General features: G+C 42.4%; 2 protein-coding genes across 21 annotated transcripts in view; one reads left to right on the forward strand and one right to left on the reverse strand.

The window, feature by feature from the left end:
* The window catches only part of IAH1 (isoamyl acetate hydrolyzing esterase 1 (putative)), a 38,597-nt gene extending 22,491 nt beyond the window's left edge, over positions 1-16,106 (forward strand). For 4 of the 15 annotated variants that reach the window (XR_007073108.1, XR_007073110.1, XR_001738718.2 and 1 more), the window contains one exon: positions 570-4,241. The gene's annotated coding sequence lies outside the window, so the exon portion shown is untranslated. Of the gene's footprint in view, positions 1-9; positions 4,242-9,142; positions 9,309-10,086; positions 10,208-10,484; positions 13,309-16,014 lie in introns of those variants that run through there. The other 11 variants (XR_001738721.2, XR_001738724.2, XR_007073106.1 and 8 more) reach the window with 7 other exon arrangements.
* ADAM17 (ADAM metallopeptidase domain 17) overlaps positions 1-22,309 on the reverse strand; it is a 67,345-nt gene that overhangs the window by 7,817 nt on the left and 37,219 nt on the right. For all 6 annotated transcript variants that reach the window (NM_003183.6, NM_001382777.1, NM_001382778.1 and 3 more), the window contains 6 exons: positions 21,801-21,945; positions 21,599-21,687; positions 13,677-13,829; positions 8,864-9,063; positions 5,871-5,974; positions 812-946 (listed from right to left, as the gene is read on the reverse strand). In NM_003183.6, the coding sequence (NP_003174.3) occupies positions 812-946; positions 5,871-5,974; positions 8,864-9,063; positions 13,677-13,829; positions 21,599-21,687; positions 21,801-21,945 (826 nt within the window). The remainder of the gene's footprint in view (positions 1-811; positions 947-5,870; positions 5,975-8,863; positions 9,064-13,676; positions 13,830-21,598; positions 21,688-21,800; positions 21,946-22,309) is intronic.

Genomic DNA, 22,309 nt, shown 5'->3' on the forward strand with positions numbered 1-22,309 from the left:
TATTTTTAGTAGAGACAGCGTTTTGCCATGTTGACCAAGCTGCTCTCAAACTCCTGACCTCAAGTGATCTGCCCACCTCGGCCTCCCAAAGTGATGGGATTACAGGTGTGAGTCACCACACCTGGCTCTCTGTCTATTTTGAAAGCAAGAGAACTCCCTCATCGACTCCCATGGTTTAAGTGGGGTGGGAAGCAGAGTCCAGCCAGTCCCTGACCAGTCCATGAGGATGCCCTCAAACCCAGGGGTTCCAAAATAGCACAGAAACCTAAGGAAAACTGACAGGCCAGCAGGAGAGAGGCTCCTGCCCCAGGCTGCTCTAAGAGATCAGAGGGGAGCAGACCCAGCCTTCTTGATAACTGCAAAAATCCTCATCTAGTGGGGTTAGGTCCTGGAATCAGCTCTCTCTGGTGGAGTTGTTGCAGGAGTATCCTAGTTCCATGCCAATGTAATGTAGATAGCTACTGCTGCTTTTGTGGTTTGTATGATATGGAGCAGAGGAAGGCTAGGACACACCTCTACCTACCCACCCACTCACCCCCAACAAAATTCCCTCCTCTCCCACCTCAAAGCCTGCCATATGGCCTGAAACTGCAGCAAGAAGAAACACCAACAGGATAGGTCTCCCAGGTATGGTGGATCTGCATGCAGAGATGCCTGTCTCCAGACACCACCCTGCCCTTCCCCATCCCCTCATCCTCGGCTTGGATCTCACCACTGCTGTCATTCGCACAACCTCCAAATGGAGGAAGGGAGCCTGGCAGACAAAGGCCATGTTTTCTCCTGCTGCTGGACTGGGAATAAAACTGCTCACCATTACATGCACAGGACTCCAGCTGCTGTTCCCTCTCGCAGAAAGGGATGCATTTCCCATCCTTACACTTGCCAAGATCCAAGCAAACAGTGTCATCTTCAGCATTTCCTGGAGGCGGGCACTCACTGCTATTACCTGGAAGCAAACACCAGTCATAACAAAAAGAATGAGTCACAGGTCCACCAGTTCTACAGGTGCATAATACGCTGTTTCTCATACAAGTGAGCATCTTACCTTGCAAAAGCAAAAAGTGACCTACAGAGCTAGGACAAGAGCCTGCATCTCACCAGCAATCAGCATTTAAATGGGAGTGCCTGGCTATGTGCCAGGCTAGGCTGCATGAGTCCCTGGCCTCCCAAGCCCCAGTTAGAATGCATGGTCTCCACTTCTGCATCTCACAGTCATATATAAAAGAATATCCTATGTGCTATTACTTAGAATAAATTGCAAACTTTGTATGAAGGCTTAAAAGAACTCCACGGCCTTCCCTATCTGGCCCTGACTTCATCGCACACAACTCTCCCACAGCCCACTGCTTTGGCTATGACAACCTCCATTCAGTTCCTTCAATATTAACAGATACTATTCCTTCTACCTGGAATGCTGGTGTTTCCACTCTTTTGGGGCAATTAGCTGGCTTTTCTTATGGATTAAGTTTTGTCTCAAAGGTTTTCTGAGATATCCCTGAGGATGCTAAGTTGATGTGGCCTCCCACTTCCATTATGCACTATCACACTCCTTCTCTCCTTCATTGCATATGTTTTGCAATTTATATATATATATTTAATGTTATTTTCTGTTTTCCCTCTACTAGACTGGAAAGCCCCATGACAGCAATGATCAAATCTATTAAGTTATCTCCAATCCCTATCATATTATAGGTATACTACAAATATTTCTTAAATAAATCAATTATTCTTTTTATTTTTCTTTTGAGACAGGGTCTCAGTCTGTCACCCAGGCTGGAAGGCAGGGGTGTGATCATAGCTTACTGCAGCCTCAAACTCCTAGGTTCCGGCAATCCTCCTGCCTCAGCCTCACAAGTACCTAGGATTTCAGGCGTACGCCACCATACCTGGCTAATTTTCTTTCTTTTTTTTTGAGAGACGAGATCTCCCTGTGTTGACCATGCTGGTGTAAAACTGCTGGGCTCAAGGGATCCTCCCACCTTGGCCTTCCAAGTGCTGGAATGATAGGCATGAGCCACTGTGCCCAGGCCAATAATGCCAAAGAAAACCCACCAAAGAAAGTTAAACTGGGAGAGACAGGATGGAATGAGTGAATCATTCTGGAAAATGAATAGCACAAGTAGCTAAAAGTCAACACAAATAGAGGAGGAGAAAAAAAACACTTTATGAAAGCAATGGACTATATATCCACAGCTCTGGACTGGCCTTTCAGCTGAAGAATGAAGCCAATCAAAAGAATTCTGACTTAGAGGGTTTCAGAGCAGTAACACAAAATGTACAGAAAATCTGGCCAGTTTCAAACAAAAGTGATGGTTTATTAAGTACCCAACAGATAACCAGGCACTTTGCCTCTGGTTCTCATAAAACCTTTCATGAGCACTGGGCATTCATCATGTCAACAGTCATTTAACAAACTATTACTGAAAGTATGATGTCCAGTGAGCTCAGGGAAGGTTTATATTGTGGATCATTATTGTATTTTTGGTATATGATACTGCCCTGATACATTAAAAAATGCTCAATAAATATCTGTTGAGCATCTGTTCTTAAAAGACTAAAGTCAGAGTATTAGACAGGTAGGAAAATAATTCTGAAAATGGTATCATCTATCTAGCATGGTCCCCAAAGTTTAGCATGCATGGAAATCACCTGACAGAAGGTTACACAGCACAGACTGCTGGCCTCCCTTCCCACATTTTTTGATGCAGTAGATCCAGGGAGGGGACTGACAATTTCCATTTCTAATAAGCTCCCAGGTGATGCTGCTGCTGCTGGTTGTGAAATGCTAATTGCTTTTTTTCTTTCTTCTTCTTTTTTTTTTTTTTTTTTGAGGTTGTTGTTCTCTAGCTTTTCCTGCTAGAAAATACTGATTCCTTATCAGGAACTTATCCTCTGCTATCTACTATTTTGTATAAAATATCAAGGGAACAAAAGGCTGTTTGATAAGAACAAACGTTTTCAAATTGTTTTACTTACGTTTATTTAAAAGAAAGCATTTTTCTCAATCTATTTTATTATTACAGTGAAGATGAAACATTGAGCATAGCTAGCAAATGCTTCTTTAAAGCTTGATTTAGATATTCAGGTTCCTAACATTTGTTTTTTTGGTTTTTTTTTGAGATGGAGTCTTGCTCTGTTGCCCAGGCTGGAGTGCAGTGGCGTGATCTCGGCTCACTGCAAGCTCCGCCTCCCGGGTTCACGCCATTCTCCTGCCTCAGCCTCCCAAGTAGCTGGGACTACAGGCGCCCGCCACCACGCCCAGCTAATTTTTTGTATCTTTTAGTAGACACAGGGTTTCACCGTGTTAGCCAGGATGGTCTCGATCTCCTGATCTCGTGATCTGCCCACCTCGGCCTCCCAAAGTGCTAGGATTACAGGTGTGAGCCACTGTGCCGGGCCATCAGGTTCCTAACATTTGGCAAAGTAATGTGATAGTGACAGATCCCAAAAGATAAAAACATGGGCAACATGTCATACTATGCACACGGAAAACCAAAATCAAGCCAAAATAGGACACAACTTCATTCACTAGGTCCCTGAAGACCTCCAGCTTTCTGTTTGCATCCTTATCACAAAACCTAGGATAGTTACAATAAAAAAGATAACAAGTGTTGGTGAGGATATGGAGAAGCTGGGACCCTCATACAATGCTGCTGAGACTGTAAAATGGTGTAGCCATTTTGGAAAACAGTCTGACAGCTCCTCAAAAGATTAAGCATAGTTACCACATGACCCAGAAATTCTATTCCTGAATAATATCCAAAGGAACTGTCCACACAAAAACTCATAGATAAATGTTCACAGCAGCATTATTTGTTATAGCAAAAAAGTGGAAGCAACCCAAATGTCTATCAACCAATGAATGAATAAACAAAATGTGGCATATCCATGCAATGGAATTTACCCAGCAATAAAAGTACATGAAGTACTGATACATGCTACAACATACATGAACCTTAAAAATGCTATGTTCAGTGAAAGAAGCCAGTCATACAATATGTGGTCACGAAACCATATTGTATAATTCCATTTATATGAAATGTTCAAAACAGACAACTCCATAAAGAATAGGGTGGTTAGTGGTTGCTCTGAGTTGTGGGGAATGGGGGGATTGGAGGATCATAGCTAAAGGATACAGGGTTTCTTTCTGGAGTAATGTAAATGTTCTAAAATTAATTGTGATGACTGCATAAATCTGAATATACTAAAAATCATTAAACTGTACACTTTAAATGGGCAAACTACATGAGTGTGAATTATGTATCAATAAAGCTATTACAAAATCAAACCAACCAACCAAGAGAGACAAATTTTGAAAAATATAAGAATGGGACAGATAGATATATCAGAGGAACAAAAAAACTAGAATAGCAAACTGAATATTGCTTTTTGACAATTTAAGTCAAAAAACATCGCAAGGGTAAAAAAGGAACATTATATACTGGTAAGGAACAGCAGATAAAGATGTAGAGATATGTCCGTTTATATACCTAGTAATAACATAGCTTTGAAATTTTTAAAGCAACAATTGACCGAACAAAAGATACTGGACACCTGGAAAGGTTAGCTCCAGAAAGATTCAAGTCCTGAATGTAAAAGGACAACTTATGAAGCTAATAGAAGCAGCTGTGGAAAATATCTTTTTAACCATCCGCCATGGCTTTTCTGAACCATGTGTTTAAAAAATACACACACACAACAAAATGATGGATTTGATTACGTTAAAGATTTCTGTTCTGAGAATGGCAACAGATAGGAGACGTATGCCCAAATGGATGATTACATAAGAACTCCTCCAAATTCACAGTAGTGAAATAACATGAAACCCAATTTTTAAAAAATGAACCAAATATATGAACTGGCTATTCACAGGAGAAATCTGAATAGCTGAAAAATATAAAGAGATGCTCAAGAAAAATGTAAGTAAGTGCATTAGGACAAGGGCTGTTAAAAAAAAAAGTAAGAACAAGAGATTACTTTATACTCATCATGCTAATAGGACAGCAGGGTAATTCCAAGCGTTGGCCAGAACGTCAGGATAAGGAGTCCTCAGACACAGGCAACCTAGCAGTGGTGCTCTAGAGACCAGCACATCCTGCCTCTGTGACTACACAATGACACTCCTCAGTACCCAGAGAAACACACAGGTTCCTGAAGGGACGTAGGAGGATGTGATCTGTGTCCTATCTGGAATATCAAGGGGATGAAGGCAATGGAAGTAGCTACCACTTGGTGACTTGTAAGTAAAACACAGCCAATCATATAACTAAACAATATGTAGGTGTCCCCAACAGTGAAATACATATAGATACATATAGAAAAACTGGTTACCCTTCTAACTTGTATCCTGCTTCCTCCACACTATTCCAGTGCATAGATTCATGATAACATTCATTATCCCAAGATTGTCATTTTGATTGTTTCCAAAATTTTGCTATTAGGATGTAGCCATTAAAAACCTTGTTATATTATCTGTAGCACAATATGGGTAATTCTTTAAAACATGATACTGAATTTTTTAAAAGTAAATTTAAGGTAGAATATCATTTTGGCACATTAAAAACACATACATGCACAAAATAACACTATATGATCTTTCAAGGATATACACATATCCAGGCAAATATTAACCACAGTAGAGTGGATGTCTGTGAGGAGAAAGAGGAGAGTGATGGAAATGAAAGAGAAATAGAAACAGGTCTTAAACCCACCAAAGCCAAGTGTCACAAACTAAGGAGTGCCAGAAACTCAACCCGGCATATGAGATTAAAAATAAGGTGTCTCTCATCTGAACAAAACATAATCTTGTTTTTCAAAGACACACACACACTTGACCCACAGCATTCCAAGGAAGCAACAAGAACACGAACCTGTGCAGTAGGACACGCCTTTGCAAGTAGCATTAATCGCCTCCTGGCACTTCTTCTGGGCAGTCTCAAACTGACAGTTTTTACAGCAAGGACTGTTCCTGTCACTGGAGAAGAACAGCAGACAGGAACAGAGCAATTCAAATTATGGCCCCATATCAAATCAAACGCTACAGTTACGTTACAGTGACCTGAAGATCACCGGGGAAGACCTCCTGGCTCCGTCACCCACTCCTACATCATCAGACATCTCCGCTGCTAGAGCTACCTGCACACACTTTGTCCCTTCCTAATGTGCGTGAGGTCACATAAATGCCACACTATAGGAGAAAAGAATGGGAACACAGCAATCACCTGTGAAACATCTTGGTGCCCTTGGTTTTCATTCATTTAACGCATTAATTTAAAAAAGACAAGATGGGCTGGGCGAGGTGGCTCACACCTATAATCCCAACCCAACACTTTGGGAGGCCGAGGTGGGTGGATCACCTGAGGTCAGGAGAGTTCGAGATGAGCCTGGCCAACATGGTGAAACCCCATCTCTACTAAAAATACAAAAATTAGCTGGGCGTGGTGGTGCGCTCCTGTAATCCCAGCTACTTAGAAGGCTGAGGCAGGAGAATCGCCTGGACCCCGGAGACAGAGGTTGCAGTGAGCCGAGATCGCACCACTGCACTCCAGCCTAGGCAACAAGAGAGAAATTCTGTCTCAAAAAAAAAAAAAAAAAAAAAAAAGATGAGGCAGGTGGACCACGAGGTTAGGGGTTTGAGACCAGCCTGGCCAACATGGTGAAACTCCGTCTCTACTAAAGATACAAAAAATTAGCCGGGCATGGTGCTACATGCCTGTAATCCCAGCTACTCGGGAGGCTAAGGCAGGAGAATAGCTTGAACCTGGAAGGCAGAGGTTGCGGTGAGCCAAGATCGCGCCACTGCACTCCAGCCTGGTCAACAGGGCGAGACTCTCTCAAAAAAAAAAAAAAAGACAAGGAAAAAAAAAAAAGACAAGGTGGGGCCACAAGGCAATCCATAGCTAAGACACTCGGCAGCCAGAACTCTACTCCCCATCAGTATTTACAGCGTTAATATGCACTGTATCCAGTTAAATCTCAATTATTCACCAGAAAACTGAAGTTTAACCCTTTTACTTCTAAGCCAGGCACTGGTCTATCAGTGTATATAAAAAATGAAAACCTGGGTAACTTTCTAACTTGTAACCTACTTCCTCCACACTATTCCAGTATATAGAATCATGATAACATTCATATCCCAAGACTGTCATTTTGATTGTTTCCAAAATTTTGCTATTAGGATGTAGCCATAAAAAAACCTTGTTAAATCTTATACCCTTGTTAAATCTTATCTCTGTTGCCCAAAAGATTCTTTGGGCAGCCAGGAGCAGTGGCTCACGCCTGTAATCCCAACACTTTGGGAGGCTGAGGCAGGCAGATCACGAAGTCAGGAGTTCGAGACCAGCCTGGCCAACATGGTGAAACCCCATCTCTACTAAAAACACAAAAATTAGCTGGGCGTGGTGGTGCACACTGTAATCCCAGCTACTGGGGAGGCTGAGGCAGGGGAATGGCTTGAACCCAGGAGGCGGAGGTTGCAGTGAGCCAAGATCACGCCACTGCACTCCAGCCTGGGCGACAGAGCAAGACTCCGTCTCAAAAAAAAAAAAAAAGAAATAAAAGATTATTTGGGCCAGGCATGGTGCCTCATACCTAGAATCTCCACACTTTAGGAGGCTTAGAAGGGTGGATCACTTGAGCCCAGGACTTTACAACAAGCTTGGGCAACATGGCAAAACCCCATCTCTATAAAAAATACAAAAAAAATTAGCCAGGTGGCACACACCTGTAGTCCTGTCTATCCGGGAGGCTGAGGTGGAAGGACTGATTGAGCCTGGGAGGTTGAGGCTGCAGTGAGCCATGATCATGCCACTGCACTCCATCTTGGGCAACAGACTGAGACCCTGTCTCAAAAAGAAAATAAAGGCCAGGCACGGTGGCTCCCCTCTGTAATCCCAGCACTTTGGGAGGCCAAGGTGGGCAGATCATGAAGTCAGGAGATCGAGACCATCCTGGCCAACATGCTAAAACTCCGTCTCTACTAAAATACAAAAAATCAGCCAGGCGTGATGGTGCGTACCTGTAGTCCCAGTTATTGGGGAGGCTGAGGCAGGGGAATCGCTTGAACCTGGGAGGCGGAGATTGCAGTGCGCTGAGATCGCGCCACTGCACTCCAGCCTGGCAACAGAGCGAGACGCCGTCTCAAAATAAATAAATAAATTAAATTAAATAAAAAAGATTATTTTGCCAGGCACGGTGCCTCACACCTGTAATCCCAGCACTTTGGGAGGCCAAGGTGGATGGATCACAAGGTCAGGAGTTGGAGACCATCCTGGCCACCGTAGTGAAACCTCGTCTCTACTAATACAAAAAATTAGCCGGGCATGGTGGTGCGTGCCTGTAGTCCCACTACTCAGGAGGCTAAGGCAGGGGAATCACTTGAACCCGGGAGACAAAGATTGCAGTAAGCCAAGATCGCGCCACTGCACTCCAGCCTGGCGACAGAGCAAGACTCTGTCTCAGGAAAAAAAAAAAAAAAAAAGATTCTTTTAACTATAGGACTGCTAAACCAAGGAGCATGCAAGGTCAAGGATTTTGTTACATAATGTCACACTGCTTTCCAGAAAGCTTCTTCTTTTCTTATTTGTTTTTTGTTTTTTAAGAGATAGTGTCTCACTATGTTGCCCAGGCTGTTCTCAAGCATTTCTCCCACCTCAGCCTCCCAGAGTGCTGGGATGACAGGAGTGAGCCACCGTGCCAGGCCCAGAAAGCAATTTCTTGCTGTGAAGGGCAAAAGAGGTAGATGTAAACAAACACACTCACACCCCTTTCAGTTGATTCTAAAGCCCCTGCAAGTTCAGTCTTCTCTTATTTTGGACATCTTGTTATACCAACTTCCCAAAATCCCTGTGGAGAGACTCCTCACCTGCACTGGACACCTTCCTTCAACGTGCAGTCGCTGTTGCAGCAGGTGTCGTTGTTCAGATACATGATGCCAGGATCACACTCTTCTCCTTCATCCACCCTCGAGTTCCCACAAACTTTATTGCTGCGTTCTTGAAAACACTCCTGGGCCTTACTTTCAATGGTCTTATAGATTGATTGTTTACTGCAGTTTGAAAACATCTTGAGAGAAAAAAGGCAATAAGGACCCAAAATAATATCATAAAAATGTATTCCCATGCAATGTTTGTGTCTTCTCTAGAGACAAACTCTTAATGTAAAACCACCATCAGAGCCACCCTGGAGTTATGGCAAGGCCACCACAGTCTCCTCCAAAGGCCACTGATATGGAACTGGGAACCTCCCTCCATAGAATGCTAAATGGCTGATGTGAACTTGGTTAAGGATCTATAATTCTTCTTACGAAGGTAAGCAAGCTATACAAATACTGAGACCAAACATCCCAGTCAAAGCCCACTTAAGGACAAGCAGAATAGCACAACAGAGAGCTCGTAGCTCCATCAGACTTGAAATCTCCTCACCTCAGGCATGCCACTCATGCAGTGACAAGAATTAAGAACCTCTGTAGGTTAATGTTGTCCCAGACAAAACAATTCAGAAATGCAGGAGAAGGGGTTTCTTCTCCTTCTTTGGCTACTTATATGGATGATCCAAGTTTAAAGTTGTTTAAATATTTGAGCTTAGTAATAGGCATAATAGTACATTTTATATAAATTAAATCCCCAATTGTTACCTAAACATTTTCATCAACCAGCAAGACCAGTGTCTCAAAAAGTCTCTACACTACCTTCCCACCCTGGAGTACAGAACCACTAGGATAACTCCCTTTTAAGGCTGAGGGTTTTATCAGGAGCTCTAAAACTGCGGTCATTTTCCAGACCTCCTGAAGTTATCAAAAAAAGAAGAGGCTTAGGGAAAACTGAGCATAGTTACTTCTTAGGTCGGGGTCTCCAAAGTGCTCTGCAGATGCCAAAATGGCTTCACTTTCACCCCAGACAACAATCATGAAGCCCCTGAGAGCCAAGTGTATGAGACCCTCCAAAGGTGCCTGTAACCACCAAATCAGACACCAAAGGAGCTACTTTCAGAAAGATAGCAAAGACCTCATCTTACACAGAAATACTAACTGGCTTTTTAAAAAACATCTTCAAATCTGTTTTTTTTTTTTTTTTTTTTTTTTTTTAGATGGAGTCTTGCTCTGTCACCAGGCTGGACTACAGAGGCACAATCTTGGCTTATTGTAACCTCCGCCTCCCGGGTTCAAGTGATTCTTCTGCCTCAGCCTCCTGAGTAGCTAGGACTACAGGTGCATGCCACCACGCCCAGCTAATTTTTGTATTTTTTGTAGAAACAGGGTTTCACCATGTTGACCAGGATGGTCTCGATCTCTTGACCTCATGATCTGCCCACCTCGGTCTCCAAAGTGCTGGGATTACAGGCGTGAGCCACCGCGCCCGGCCCAAATCTGTCGTTACAGTACAGATGTCTAAGGGGTCTGGTTATTCTAATCGGGGCCTCAGGCAGTTGTCATTTTGGTGGGTTTATTCATCAACATCATGTATCTCTGGGTTCCATTTTATCAGGTTAAAATGGAGTTAAAATTCACAGTGAACAGATAAGAAGACCTCTTCACTGATTTGTCAGAGTTACAACTCCCAAGCAGCTGGAGAGCACTAACGATAAAAGGACCAACCCGCAACTCTGGCTTTCTGCCTACACATCCCTGAAGATCTGGCAGCTTCTGTTTGCATCCTTGTCATAAGACTTCCTCTTCCGTTCAGCAAACCTTCCTAAGAAGTTACAATCTCAAAGGTCCTACATTCCTTTTCACTAATGTCATCTGTCCACAGAGAAGTCCACCTGTGGCAAACTGCTCTTCATAGGCTTGCCTAGTAGAGGGTGATGGGTTCTGTCTTTCTAGGTCAAGGAACTACTTTATTTTTGTCCTGTAAGCCCTTTTCATCAGTTAAAAATATTTTTATTAAGGAATTCATTTAAAACATAGGCTGGGCACAGCAGCTCATGCCTGTAATCCCAGCACTTTGAGAGGTCGAGGCAGGTGGATCACCTGAGGTCAGGAGTTTGTTGACCAGTCAGTTGACCAACCTGGCCAACATGGTGAAACCCCATCCTACTAAAACTACAAAAATTGGCCAGGTGTGGTGGCATGCACCTGTAACCCCAGCTACTCAGGAGGCTAAGGCAGGAGAATCGCTTGAACCTGGGAGGTGGAGGTTGCAGTGAGCAGAGATCACACCACTGCACTCCAGCCTGGGCGACAGAGTGAGACTCCACTCAAAAAATCATAATAAATAATAATAAATAAATAAAACATAGAAGATGCACATTATCTTCTTACAAGGGGACTCCTACTTGGGCAACCAAACTAGAAAAACACAGACTAAATATGATGTGCTCAGGACAAAATAAATAAATTGTTCTTCATTGATACAGACTGGCAGCTCCAGAAAAAAAAAGTTCTTCCCAGGCCCCATTCTCATTAGCAAGTTCTTTTTTTTCTTTTTCCTTTTTTTGAGATAAAGTCTCACTCTGTCATCCAGGCTGGAGTGTAGTAGCACAACCTTGGCTCACTGCCGCCTTGAACTCCCCGGGTTCCTCCTACCTTAGCCTCCTGAGTAGCTGGGACTACAAGCATGTGCTTCTATGCCCAGCTAATTTTTGTATTTTCTGTAGAGATGGAGTTTCACATGTTGTCCAGGCTGATCCTGAACTCCTAGGCTCAAGTGATCTGCCCACCTCGGCCTCTCAAAGTGCTGGGATTACAGGTGTGAGCCACCATGCCTCACTGGCAAGTTCTTACAGGGCTGTTTTGAAGAGCCCCAGAACTGGCAGCAGGAAGAGTCAGCAGCATGCATGTCCACCCAGGCAGTCTGCAAAGTAAAACATTTTGCTCCCAAGTTCTGACACTATCCTCATAACCAAGAAGCATATGACCTATTACTTAGAGAAACAGTATGCAATATGGTAGCCACCAACCATATGTGGCTACTTAAATTTTGTTCCTAGTCACATATTTTACAGTTTCTATTACAGAAATATTCAAGCATCTATGAAGTAGACAGGATGGTATCATGAATGCCCCCGTGCCCCTCACCAGCTTCAACAATAATCAACTTATGACTTCACAGCTCCTCTACATCCGCGCTACTTTTCCTCTGCTCCCACACTGCTGTTTTTGTTTGTTGGCTTATTAACAACTTTATTAAGACATATTTCACATATCACAAAATTGATCCATTTCAAGTATATAACTCAGTGATTTCTAATAACTTTACCAAGTGTTGAAACCATTGCTATAAGTCAATTTTAGGACATTTCCATCCTTCCAGTAATCTCACTCATGTCCTTTTACAGTTAATGCCCATTCCCGTCTCCCATCACAGGCAAACATTATTAAAAATTTAAATAAAATAGAATTTACAATTCAGTTCCTCAGTTTCTAGCCACATTTCAATTGCTCCACTGGGCTAGTGGCTACTATACTGGGCAGAGCAGACACAAAACATCCCCCGCCCCGCAGCAGAAAGTTCTATTGGGCAGCACTGAACTATAGTGAACATGATTAGAAATGCAGAGACTATGAAAAGAGAAGGAAAATTCAACAGTTTGACAGGTTGGAAGAGTAGACAAAAAGGGGTAGAAAAATGTTTCTCTGGCACAAGTTGTCAAGCAGAGGAAAAATAAAACATAACATGCAAAGTAACAGAGGAACTGTTTACACATAACAGCCAAAGAAAATGAGATGCAGAAAATATACATAAAAAGCCAAAAAAAAATGAGATGCAACAATCAAAGATCACAAAAAGAACAGGAGGCAGAAATTTCAGAAAGCAGGGTGTCAGAGCCAGGGAAAAGCAGAAGTAATCTTGCCCTCTGTGTCCAGGGAAGGCTTGCACATTAGCCCACAGCCAAGCTCAAAATAGGAGTCAGGACAAATACTTCACAATCTTTTGTGATTAGAATCAGACTCCTTTAAGCTCTCCCCACCGACCCTCTTTAACTCAGCAGTGCAACTATTGTTTTCCTCACACTGCTTTATGCTGTTTAACTTCAAATAAAATGAAAGAACCAGATATTTATTAACACAACTTTTAGTTCAGACTCTAAGAGTTAGTCACGGCACTCTTAAAGTCTCTGAAAGTGTTTTACAGTATCACAAATCAACTAGTATTCTCTATCAGAAACCCCCAATAGTAAATGATTCCATTAATTATTCAACAAATATTTGTTACATGCCAGATACTCCTACTAGGCACTGGAGATAGAGCTATGAATAAGATAGAGCTATGAATAAGACAGACAAGGAAGGGCCTTTCTCCCATGAGGCTTGTAGTCAGGCAAACTATGTGTTTAACTGCAAAAGTTAATAAAAACGTGTAAACTGTACATGTAAATTGTAGAGTTAAAATGAATGACAACTTGTAAATGAAATGACAAATTTTTAACATAAAGCCTGAGCCCACCAGACCCTGAAATCCAGAACTCCAAAAAAAGCCATTATTATTAGTAATTTTTCCTAGAGCTCAAATCTACACCATTAAGCTTGACAACAAAGTCCAAATGATAGTTTTAACCAGATTTAGATGAACCGTGCTTCACCCCAAAACACACAACCACGTTTCAAGGTACTTTGTAATTTGCACATCCATCCCTAGGGAAACGCCTAGGAATGGAATACGTTTCTGAGCTCTCATTATGATCATTATACACAGCCTCTTTCCAAACCACATAAAAAATTCTCGACACACACATACCTTATTGTTCTCGTGATCGCCACTCACAGCTATGGGATACATGACATATTTCCCTCCCTGGTCCTCATTCGGGGCACATTCTGCTAGACCATCCGGATCATGTTCTGCTCCAAAATTATGTCCCAATTCATGAGTTGTAACCAGGTCAGCTTCCTTAAGGATCATGCAAAGAAAACATTATTTCTCAATATCCAGCCATCACCTACTTCTGCCAGTTGGGCCTATGCTGTCTTAAATAGAGCCTTATAATCAGATCAACAAGAGAATAAGAACTGCATGCTTATAATACCAGCACTTTAGGAGGCTGAGATGGGAGGATTACTTTACTCTAGGAGTTTGAGGCCAGCCTGGGTAACACAGGGAGACCCTATCTCTACAAAAATAATAAAAAATATTAACCAGGTGGGCTAGGCATGGTGGCTCACGCCTGTAATCCCAGCACTTTGGGAGGCTGAGGCAGGTGGATCACGAGGTCAGGAGTTCGAGACCAGCCTGGCCAACATGGTGAAACCCTGTCTCTACTAAAAATACAAAAATTAGCTGGGCATGGAGGCACGCGCCTGTAATCTCAACTACTCGGGAGGCTGAGGCAGGAGAACTGCTTGAACCCAGGGGGCGGAGGTTGCAGTGAGCTGAGATCACGCCATTGCACTCCAGCCTGGGAGACAGGGCGAGACTTCGTCTCAAAAAAAAAAAAAAAAAAATTAGCCAGGCATGGTGGTGCACACCTGTGGTCCCAGCTACTTGGGAGGCTGAGGTGAGAGTATCACCTGAACCCAGGAGGCTGAGGCTACAGTGATCTATGATCACACCACTGCACTCCAGCCTGGGTGACAGAGTAAGACTTTGTCTCAAAAAAGAGTAATAACCGGACTATGATTCTTCTACCAATTATATGAATTTAACAGAATAAGTAGGATTTTATTTAATACTATCAAACATTATTGTAAGTAGTAACAAATCAATTTAAGAAAATGTAATTTATAAGATATACTGGAACATTCATAACAAAACATCAAACCTTGGCCATTTCAACCACACACAATCTGGTGCTGATAAATGCAATAAGCTAACTGTAGTTAATTGTCCAGCCTCCTCACATGCCCCTCGGCCCAATCACATGTCTGTTAAAACCTAAAGCATCTCAGCAGAAAGGAAAAAAAAAGCAAGGGGTAAAAAAAACAGTACGGATAGGCGCAGTGGCTCACACCTGTAATCCCAGCACTTTGGGAGGCCAAGGTGGGTTGATCGCCTGAGGTCAGGAGTTCGAGACCAGCCTGGCCAACATAGTAAAACCCCATCTCTACTAAAAATACAAAAAATTAGCTGGGTGTGGTGGCGCACGCCTGTAATCCCGGCTACTCGGGAGGCTGAGACAGGAAAATCACTTGAACCCAGGAGGCGGAGGTTGCAGTGAGCTGAGATCATGCCATTGCACTCCAGCCTAGGCAACAAGAGTGAAACTCTATCTTAAAAAAAAAACAAAAACCACAACTGAGGAACAACAAAACAATGTTTTATTTTCTCAATGACTGAATTCATGTCCAATAACAATCTTAATGACCTAGAGGACTTGGTTTATTAGAATCCAGTTGCAGGGCTGTACTTAATCTATCAGATTATCAGATGATTTCTATATGAATAATAAATTTTGCCAATAAAGCTAAAATTTTTTTTCCATATTTATCTGAATAAAATATCAAACTTAAAGGCCAGGCACAGTGGCTCACGCCTGGAATTCCAGCACTTTGGGAGGCCAAGGCAGCTGGATCACTTGAGGTCAGGAGTTCCAGACCAGACTGGCCAACATGGTGAAACCCTGTCTCTACTAAAAATATAAAACCTAGCCAGGCATTGTGGTGGGCGCCTGTAATCGCAGCTATTTGGGAGGCTGAGCCAGAAGAATTGCTTGAACCCAGGAGGCGGAGGTTGCTGTGAGCCGAGATAGGCCACTGAACCCCCAGCCTGGGCAAAAGAGTGAGAGTCTGTCTTAAAATAAATAAATAAAATAAAATAAAATAAATATATATACATATAAACTTAAAATTCCTGAGTTCTTTTTTCCTAAGGGGGGGAAATCACTCCATAGAACCTGAAAAAATAATATTTTGCAAGTCATTTTTCTATACAAGAAGTCTTTCCACATGTTCATATTAAAACCGTAGTGGGAAAAAAAACTTAAATTTTTAGCAAAAGCACTCAAATCCCAAAGGTGTAATGAAGAGAAATATCTCCTAACTGCTTGGGGAAAATTCATTAGTGGATTTGCTAATGACTCTTAAAAAAAAATCTCAAAAATTTCAAATCAAATTTTGTTTTTTTGCTGTGTTTTTTTAAGAGGAAAGTTCTGGAAGACCAAAGAAAATATGTCATGAAATCAAGCCATTAAGAAGTTGTGACTCCAAAAAAGTAAAAGCGTGAGCTACTGTACACACATGTATGTTTCTGTCCATGGCTCCTGGCTTACAACCCTCCGTAGCCCTGGTTACGGTCTTCTGTTATAATGTTGGGGTGCTTTAGGGCTCAGGAGCAATCCTCAGGAAACAGAATCTCTCTCTCTGACCTTCTCCTGTCCTCCTTTTACCTGATCCAAGGCAAGACTCTAATCTGATTGTGGGTCCAGAGATCCTCATTCTCATTCTCATTCTAGAGAGGGTCCTGCCCTTTACTGTGGAGGGAGGAATGCTGCACAGAGAGGTCAAGGAGAATCTGGACAGGCCTTGGTGGGCTTCCCCACTCAGTCGGTTAGTATGAGAACATACCCATTTTGTCCAATCACATTTCTACACAGTTGTCATTCGTGCTTATGTAATGAAGCCTCCATAAAATCTCAAAAAACAGGATTCAGAGAGCTTCCAGAGAGCATTTTGAATACATGGAGGTTGACAGGAAGGTGCAAAACTCATTCGTGTGCCAGGAGGGAGGTACATCCCAACTCCATGGGGACAGAAGCTCCTGTACTCGGGACCCTTCCAGACCTCGCCCTATGTATCCCTTCATTTGGCTATTTCTTTGTATCCTTTCTTTTTTTTTTATTTTTTGAGACAAAGACTCCCTCTGTTGACCAGTACAGTGGCGCAATCTCAGCTCACTGCAATCTCTGCCTCCCAGGTTCAAGCACTTCTCCTGCCTCAGCCTCCCGAGTGGCTGAGATTATAGGCATGCACCACCACACCTGGCTAATTTTTGTATTTTTAGTAGAGACGAGGTTTCACCATGTTGGTCAGGCTGGTCTCAAACTCCTGACCTCAGGTATCTACCCACCTCGGCCTCCCAAAGTGCTGGGATTACAGGCGTGAGCCACCGCACCCAGCTTCTTTGTATCCTTTAAAATATCCTATGTAATAAACCCATAAACTAAGTTAAGCTTTTCCCTGAGTTCTGTGAGCCACTTAAGCAAATTAATCAGACCCAAAGAGGAGAATGTGGAAACCCCAACTTGAAGCCAGTTGGTCAGAAGTTCTGGAGGCTCAGACTTGTAACTGGTGGGGAGGAGGGAACAGTCAGTCTTGTGGGACTGGGCCCTCAAACTGTGAGATCTGATACTATTTCCGGGTGGAGAGTGTTTGAATTGAATTGGAGGACACCTAGCTGATGTCTACTGCTTGATATGTAGGGGGAAATCCCCACACGTTTGGTCTGGTCACACAAGTCTTCTGTGTTGATGATGATGGTTGTGATGTGAGAATAGAGGGAAAACACAGTTTGAGAGATTTTTTCCCCTAAAACAAAGTACCATAAGAAAAAAATAAATTTAGAAATTAAGGCCAAGCACGGTGGCTCACGCCTGTAATCCAGCAGTTTGGGAGGCCGAGGCAGACGGATCACCTGAGAGCCAGCCTGACCAACATGAAGAAACCCCATCTCTACTAAAAATACAAAATTAGCTGGTCGTGATGGCGCATGCCTGTAATCCCAGCTGCTCAGGAGAAAGAGGCAGGAGAATTGCTTGAATCCGGGAGGCGGAGGTTGCAGTGAGCCAAGATCACACCATTGCACTCCAGCCTGGGCAACAAGAGAAAACTCCATCTCAAAAAAAAAAAAAAGAAAAGAAAAAAAGAAATTAAAAGATTCCCAAAAGCTAATTAGTGTCTTTTTCTTTTCTCATACCACTCTACATTATTGTTCAACATTGTCCAACAATGATAGACTGGATTAAGAAAATGTGGCACATATACACCATGGAATACTATGCAGCCATAAAAAAGGATGAGTTCATGTCCTTCGTAGGGACATGGATGAAGCTGGAAACCATCATTCTCAGCAAACTATCGCAAGGACAAAAGCCAAACACCGCATGTTCTCACTCAAAGGTGGGAATTGAACAATGAGAACACTTGGACACAGGAAGGGGAACATCACACACCGGTGCCTGTCGTGGGGTGGGGGGAGGGGGAAGGGGGAAGGGATAGCATTAGGAGATATACCTAATGTAAATGACGAGTTAATGGGTGCAGCACACCAACATGGCACATGTATACATATGTAACAAACCTGCACGTTGTGCACATGTATCCTAGAACTTAAATTTAAAATATAAATATATATATATATATATATATATATATATATATATATATATATATATATAAATAAAAAGAGACAGGGTCTCAGGCCAGGCACGGTGGCTCACGCCTGTAATTCCAACACTTTGGGAGGCCAAGGCGGGCAGATCACAAGGTCAGGAGATTGAGACCATCCTGGCTAACACAGTGAAACCCCGTCTCTACTAAAAATACAAAAAATTAGCCGGGCGTGGTGGTGGGGGTGCCTGTAGTCCCAGCTACTTGGGAGGCTGAGGCAAGAGAATGGCATGAACCCAGGAGACAGAGCTTGCAGTGAGCCAAGATCATGCCATTGCACTCCAGCATGGGAGACACAGCGAGACTCCATCTCAAAAAAGAAAAGGAGGATCTCGCTAAGTTGCTCAGGCTGGAATGTAGCGGGTATTCACAGTTGCATTTATCACACTACAGCCTCTAACTCTTGGCCTCAAGTGATCCTCCCGCGTAGCTGGGACTATAGGCTCCTGCCACCACCTGTTTTTAAATCACCCAAAGTCCACAGTTTATGTTAGGGTCCACTCTTTGTGCTGTATATTCTATGTGTTTCAACAAATGCATAATGTCTTATACTGACTGTTGAAGTATCATACAGAGTAATTACCCTGCTCTCCACCTATTCATCCCTCCCTCCCCCAGCATCTAGCAATCACTGATCATTTTATAGTCTGCATGGTTTTGTCTTTTCTAGAATGTCATATATTTGGAATCATATAGTATGTAGCCTTTCAGACTGGCTTATTTTACTTAGTAGTATGCTTTTAAGGTTCCTCTATGTCTTTTCATGGCTTAATAGCTTTTTATTTTTTTCTCATTTTATGGATGTGCCAGTTTATCCATTTACCAACTAAAGGATATCTTGGTTGCTTCCAAGTTTTATCAATTATGAATTAAGCTGCCATAAACATTCTTATGGCTGGGCGTAGTGGCTCACACCCGTAATCCCAGCACTTTGGGAGGCTGAAGCAGGCGGATCACCTGAGGTCAGGAGTTCGAGACCAGCCTGGACAACATGGTGAAACCCCATCTCTACTAAAAATACAAAAATTAGCTGGGAGTGGCAGCGGGCACCTGTAATCCCAGCTACTCAGGAGACTGAGGCAGAATTGCTTAAACCTGGGAGGCAGAGGTTGCAGTGAGCCGAGATGGCGCCATTGCACTCCAGCCTGGGTGACAAGAGTGAAACTCCGTCTCCAAAAAAAAAAAAAAAAGAAAAAAGAAAAAGAAAAGAAACTGCCAACTGCCTTCCAAAGTGGCTGTTCCATTTTTGCATTCCCACTAGCAATTAATGAGAGTTCCTGTTGCTCCATAGCCTTGTTGGAATTGTGTTGCCAGTGTTTGGGATTTTAGCCATTCTAATAAGCTACTAGTAATAGCACATTGTTGTTGGGTTTCTTAAAGTTTTTTATAGAAATAGGATCTCACTAATGTTGCCCAGGATGGGTCTCAAACTCCTGGGCTCGAGCAATCCTCCCACCTCAGCCTCCCAAGCAACTGGGACTACAGGCATGTACCCCTACAACCAGCTTCATTGTTAATTTGCAATTTCCTAATGACATATGACGCTGAGCATCTTTTCATATGCTTCTCTGCTATCTGTATATCTTTGGAGGTATCTGTTCTGCTCTTTTGTCTGTTTTTAAATTAGGTTGTTCATTTTCTTATTGTTGAATTTTAACAGTTCTTTATACATATGGAAATTTTTATTTATTTATTTATTTTTAATTTTGTAGAGACAGGGTCTGACCATCTTGCCCAGGTTAGTTTCAAACTCCTGGGCTCAAGTGATTCTCCTGCCTCGGCCTCCCAAAGTGCCGAAGATTATAGGAATGAGCCACCATGCCCGGCCTCTTTGTATATTTCAGATAGCAGTCTTTTCTCAGATGTGTCTTTTGCAAATGTTTTCCCATACCCTACACCAAGTATAACATCATAGTCAAAAAATCAGTATACCAACCAGCCCTTTAGGAAGCCAAGGTGAGTGGATCACTTGAGGTCAGGGGTTCATGAGACCAGCCTGGCCAACATGGTGAAACCCTGTCTCTAAAACAAAAATACAAAAATTAGCCAGGCGTGGTGACAGGTGCTTGTAATCCCAACTACTCAGGAGGTTGAAGCAGGAGAACTGCTTGAACCCAGAAGGCAGAGGTTACAGTGAGCCAAGATGGTGCCACTGCCCTCCAGACTGGGCCACAGAGCAAGACTCTGTCTCAAAAAAAATAAAAATTAAATAAAAATTAAAAATCAGTATATCAGATACTAATATGTCCTACCAACATCTCTCTCCCCTTCTTCCTTACTTAATGAGCCCTAATTTTGCCCAGGACAGCAATATACTCAGCTAAAATAGCCAGCTTTCCACATTCCGTTGAGGCTAAGGGCAGCCACGGGACCCAGTGCTGTCCAGTAACATATAAACAAAAGCCAGGATGGGGCCTCCAGAGAAGCTTTTTAGAAGGGCCAGACTAGGCTAGCCATGTTCTCTTTCTCCTCCTTTCTCCAACACAGAAGAGAACCATCTTAAAACCATGAGGTGACATCCATGAGGACAAAGACTTCCTGCTTGTTCTTGAGCCACTGAGGGTACCTCTGAGTTGCTGTACCACCCAGAAAATGCTATCCCTGAACTTCTTGTTGACTGAGACAAATAAACCCCTTATTTAAACCACTGCTTATTTAATTTTCTGTTATTTGTAGTCAAACACATTTTAACAGACATAGCTGGAGAAAAACAAGATCTTAAGATATTCCAGAGAAAAAAACAGGTGACAAACAAAGATAAGAACTCAAAATGACTTCAGATTCTTTAGAAGCAACATGCACAGAAGACCATAGAGAACATGAGAACTAAGAATATACTCAGCCAAAATTATCAATCAGGCTTAAGAGTGGAATAAAGACATTTTCAGATATATGAAATCCCAACAATATGCAGGTCATCTACGTTTTCTTAGGAAGCTCCTGCAAGATACACTACACCAAAATGATGGCACTGAGAAAGAGGGAGACCATGGGGTTCTGAAAATAAGAGGGTGTGGGATGCCTTGAATGACAGCTGCACTGCAGGACTAGGAGACAGGGAGCTCTAAGAGTTGCTGCAGGTCAGAGGGGTCCAGGACAGAGGGTTCGAGAAAAGCAGTGGTCCTCACATGTTTCAAAAGAAGGCTGACAGGCCATTTTTATTTTCTTCTTTATGCTTTAATTTTCATATATCCCACAAAAATACATAAATTTTATTTAGGCAGAAATTTAAAAAACAGTATATATTACATTTTTTAAAAAAATACCTACATAAATATATAACTGAGGTTCTACTACAATAAACTCTAACACTATTCTTTTAGAAATAAAAGAACATACCTTTGTAAGGATGGTTTTACCATAATTCTTTGTGCTCGTCAAACCACTATTCAAATAGATATTTTTCTTCCCAACTGGGCTATAATAAGCTAAAGTCAAAAGGAAACAGAGATAAATTGCTTATTAAATACAGAATTATAATATAATCCAATCATCTTAATAATCCCAGCAGCATATTCACACAAGAAATGGAAAAACTTACCCTTTGGACAAACACCTCCATGGCTGTTTGCTCTGGGAGAGCCAACATAAGCTAATCCAAGAGTTCCCATATCAAAATCTTGGTATGTGAAAAGGTGTGCCAAGCAAACTTTAGATGCTTCCTCAGCTATATCAAAGCTAAATTGCTTTGAAAGACCAAAAAAAAAAAAAAAAAAAAAAGCATTCTTAGATTAACAATTACATCAGACTAAAAGATGTAATCTAAATCAACTAAACATTCCAGAACAGAACTATGATGGCATGCAGCTCAGCACCAGCAATCACAACCTCGTGCAGTGCTTTGCTCTTTCCCTAAAGTGCTTCTCCACCTGCACAGGTGAGAGGCACACACTGTCATCTGACAAGGGACACAAAAGGGAATAGTTCGGGAGCTTGCTCCAGCTCTTCAGAACTAACTCACTGCTCCTCCGAGGGCTGTTCTGAAGACATACAGCCCAGGACTAGAGATGCTCCAATTCGATAAGGGGATTGCAGCACTCCAGGCCAAAA

Source organism: Homo sapiens, chromosome 2 (assembly GCF_000001405.40).
Source record: "Homo sapiens chromosome 2, GRCh38.p14 Primary Assembly".
Taxonomy (NCBI): Eukaryota; Metazoa; Chordata; class Mammalia; order Primates; family Hominidae; genus Homo; species Homo sapiens.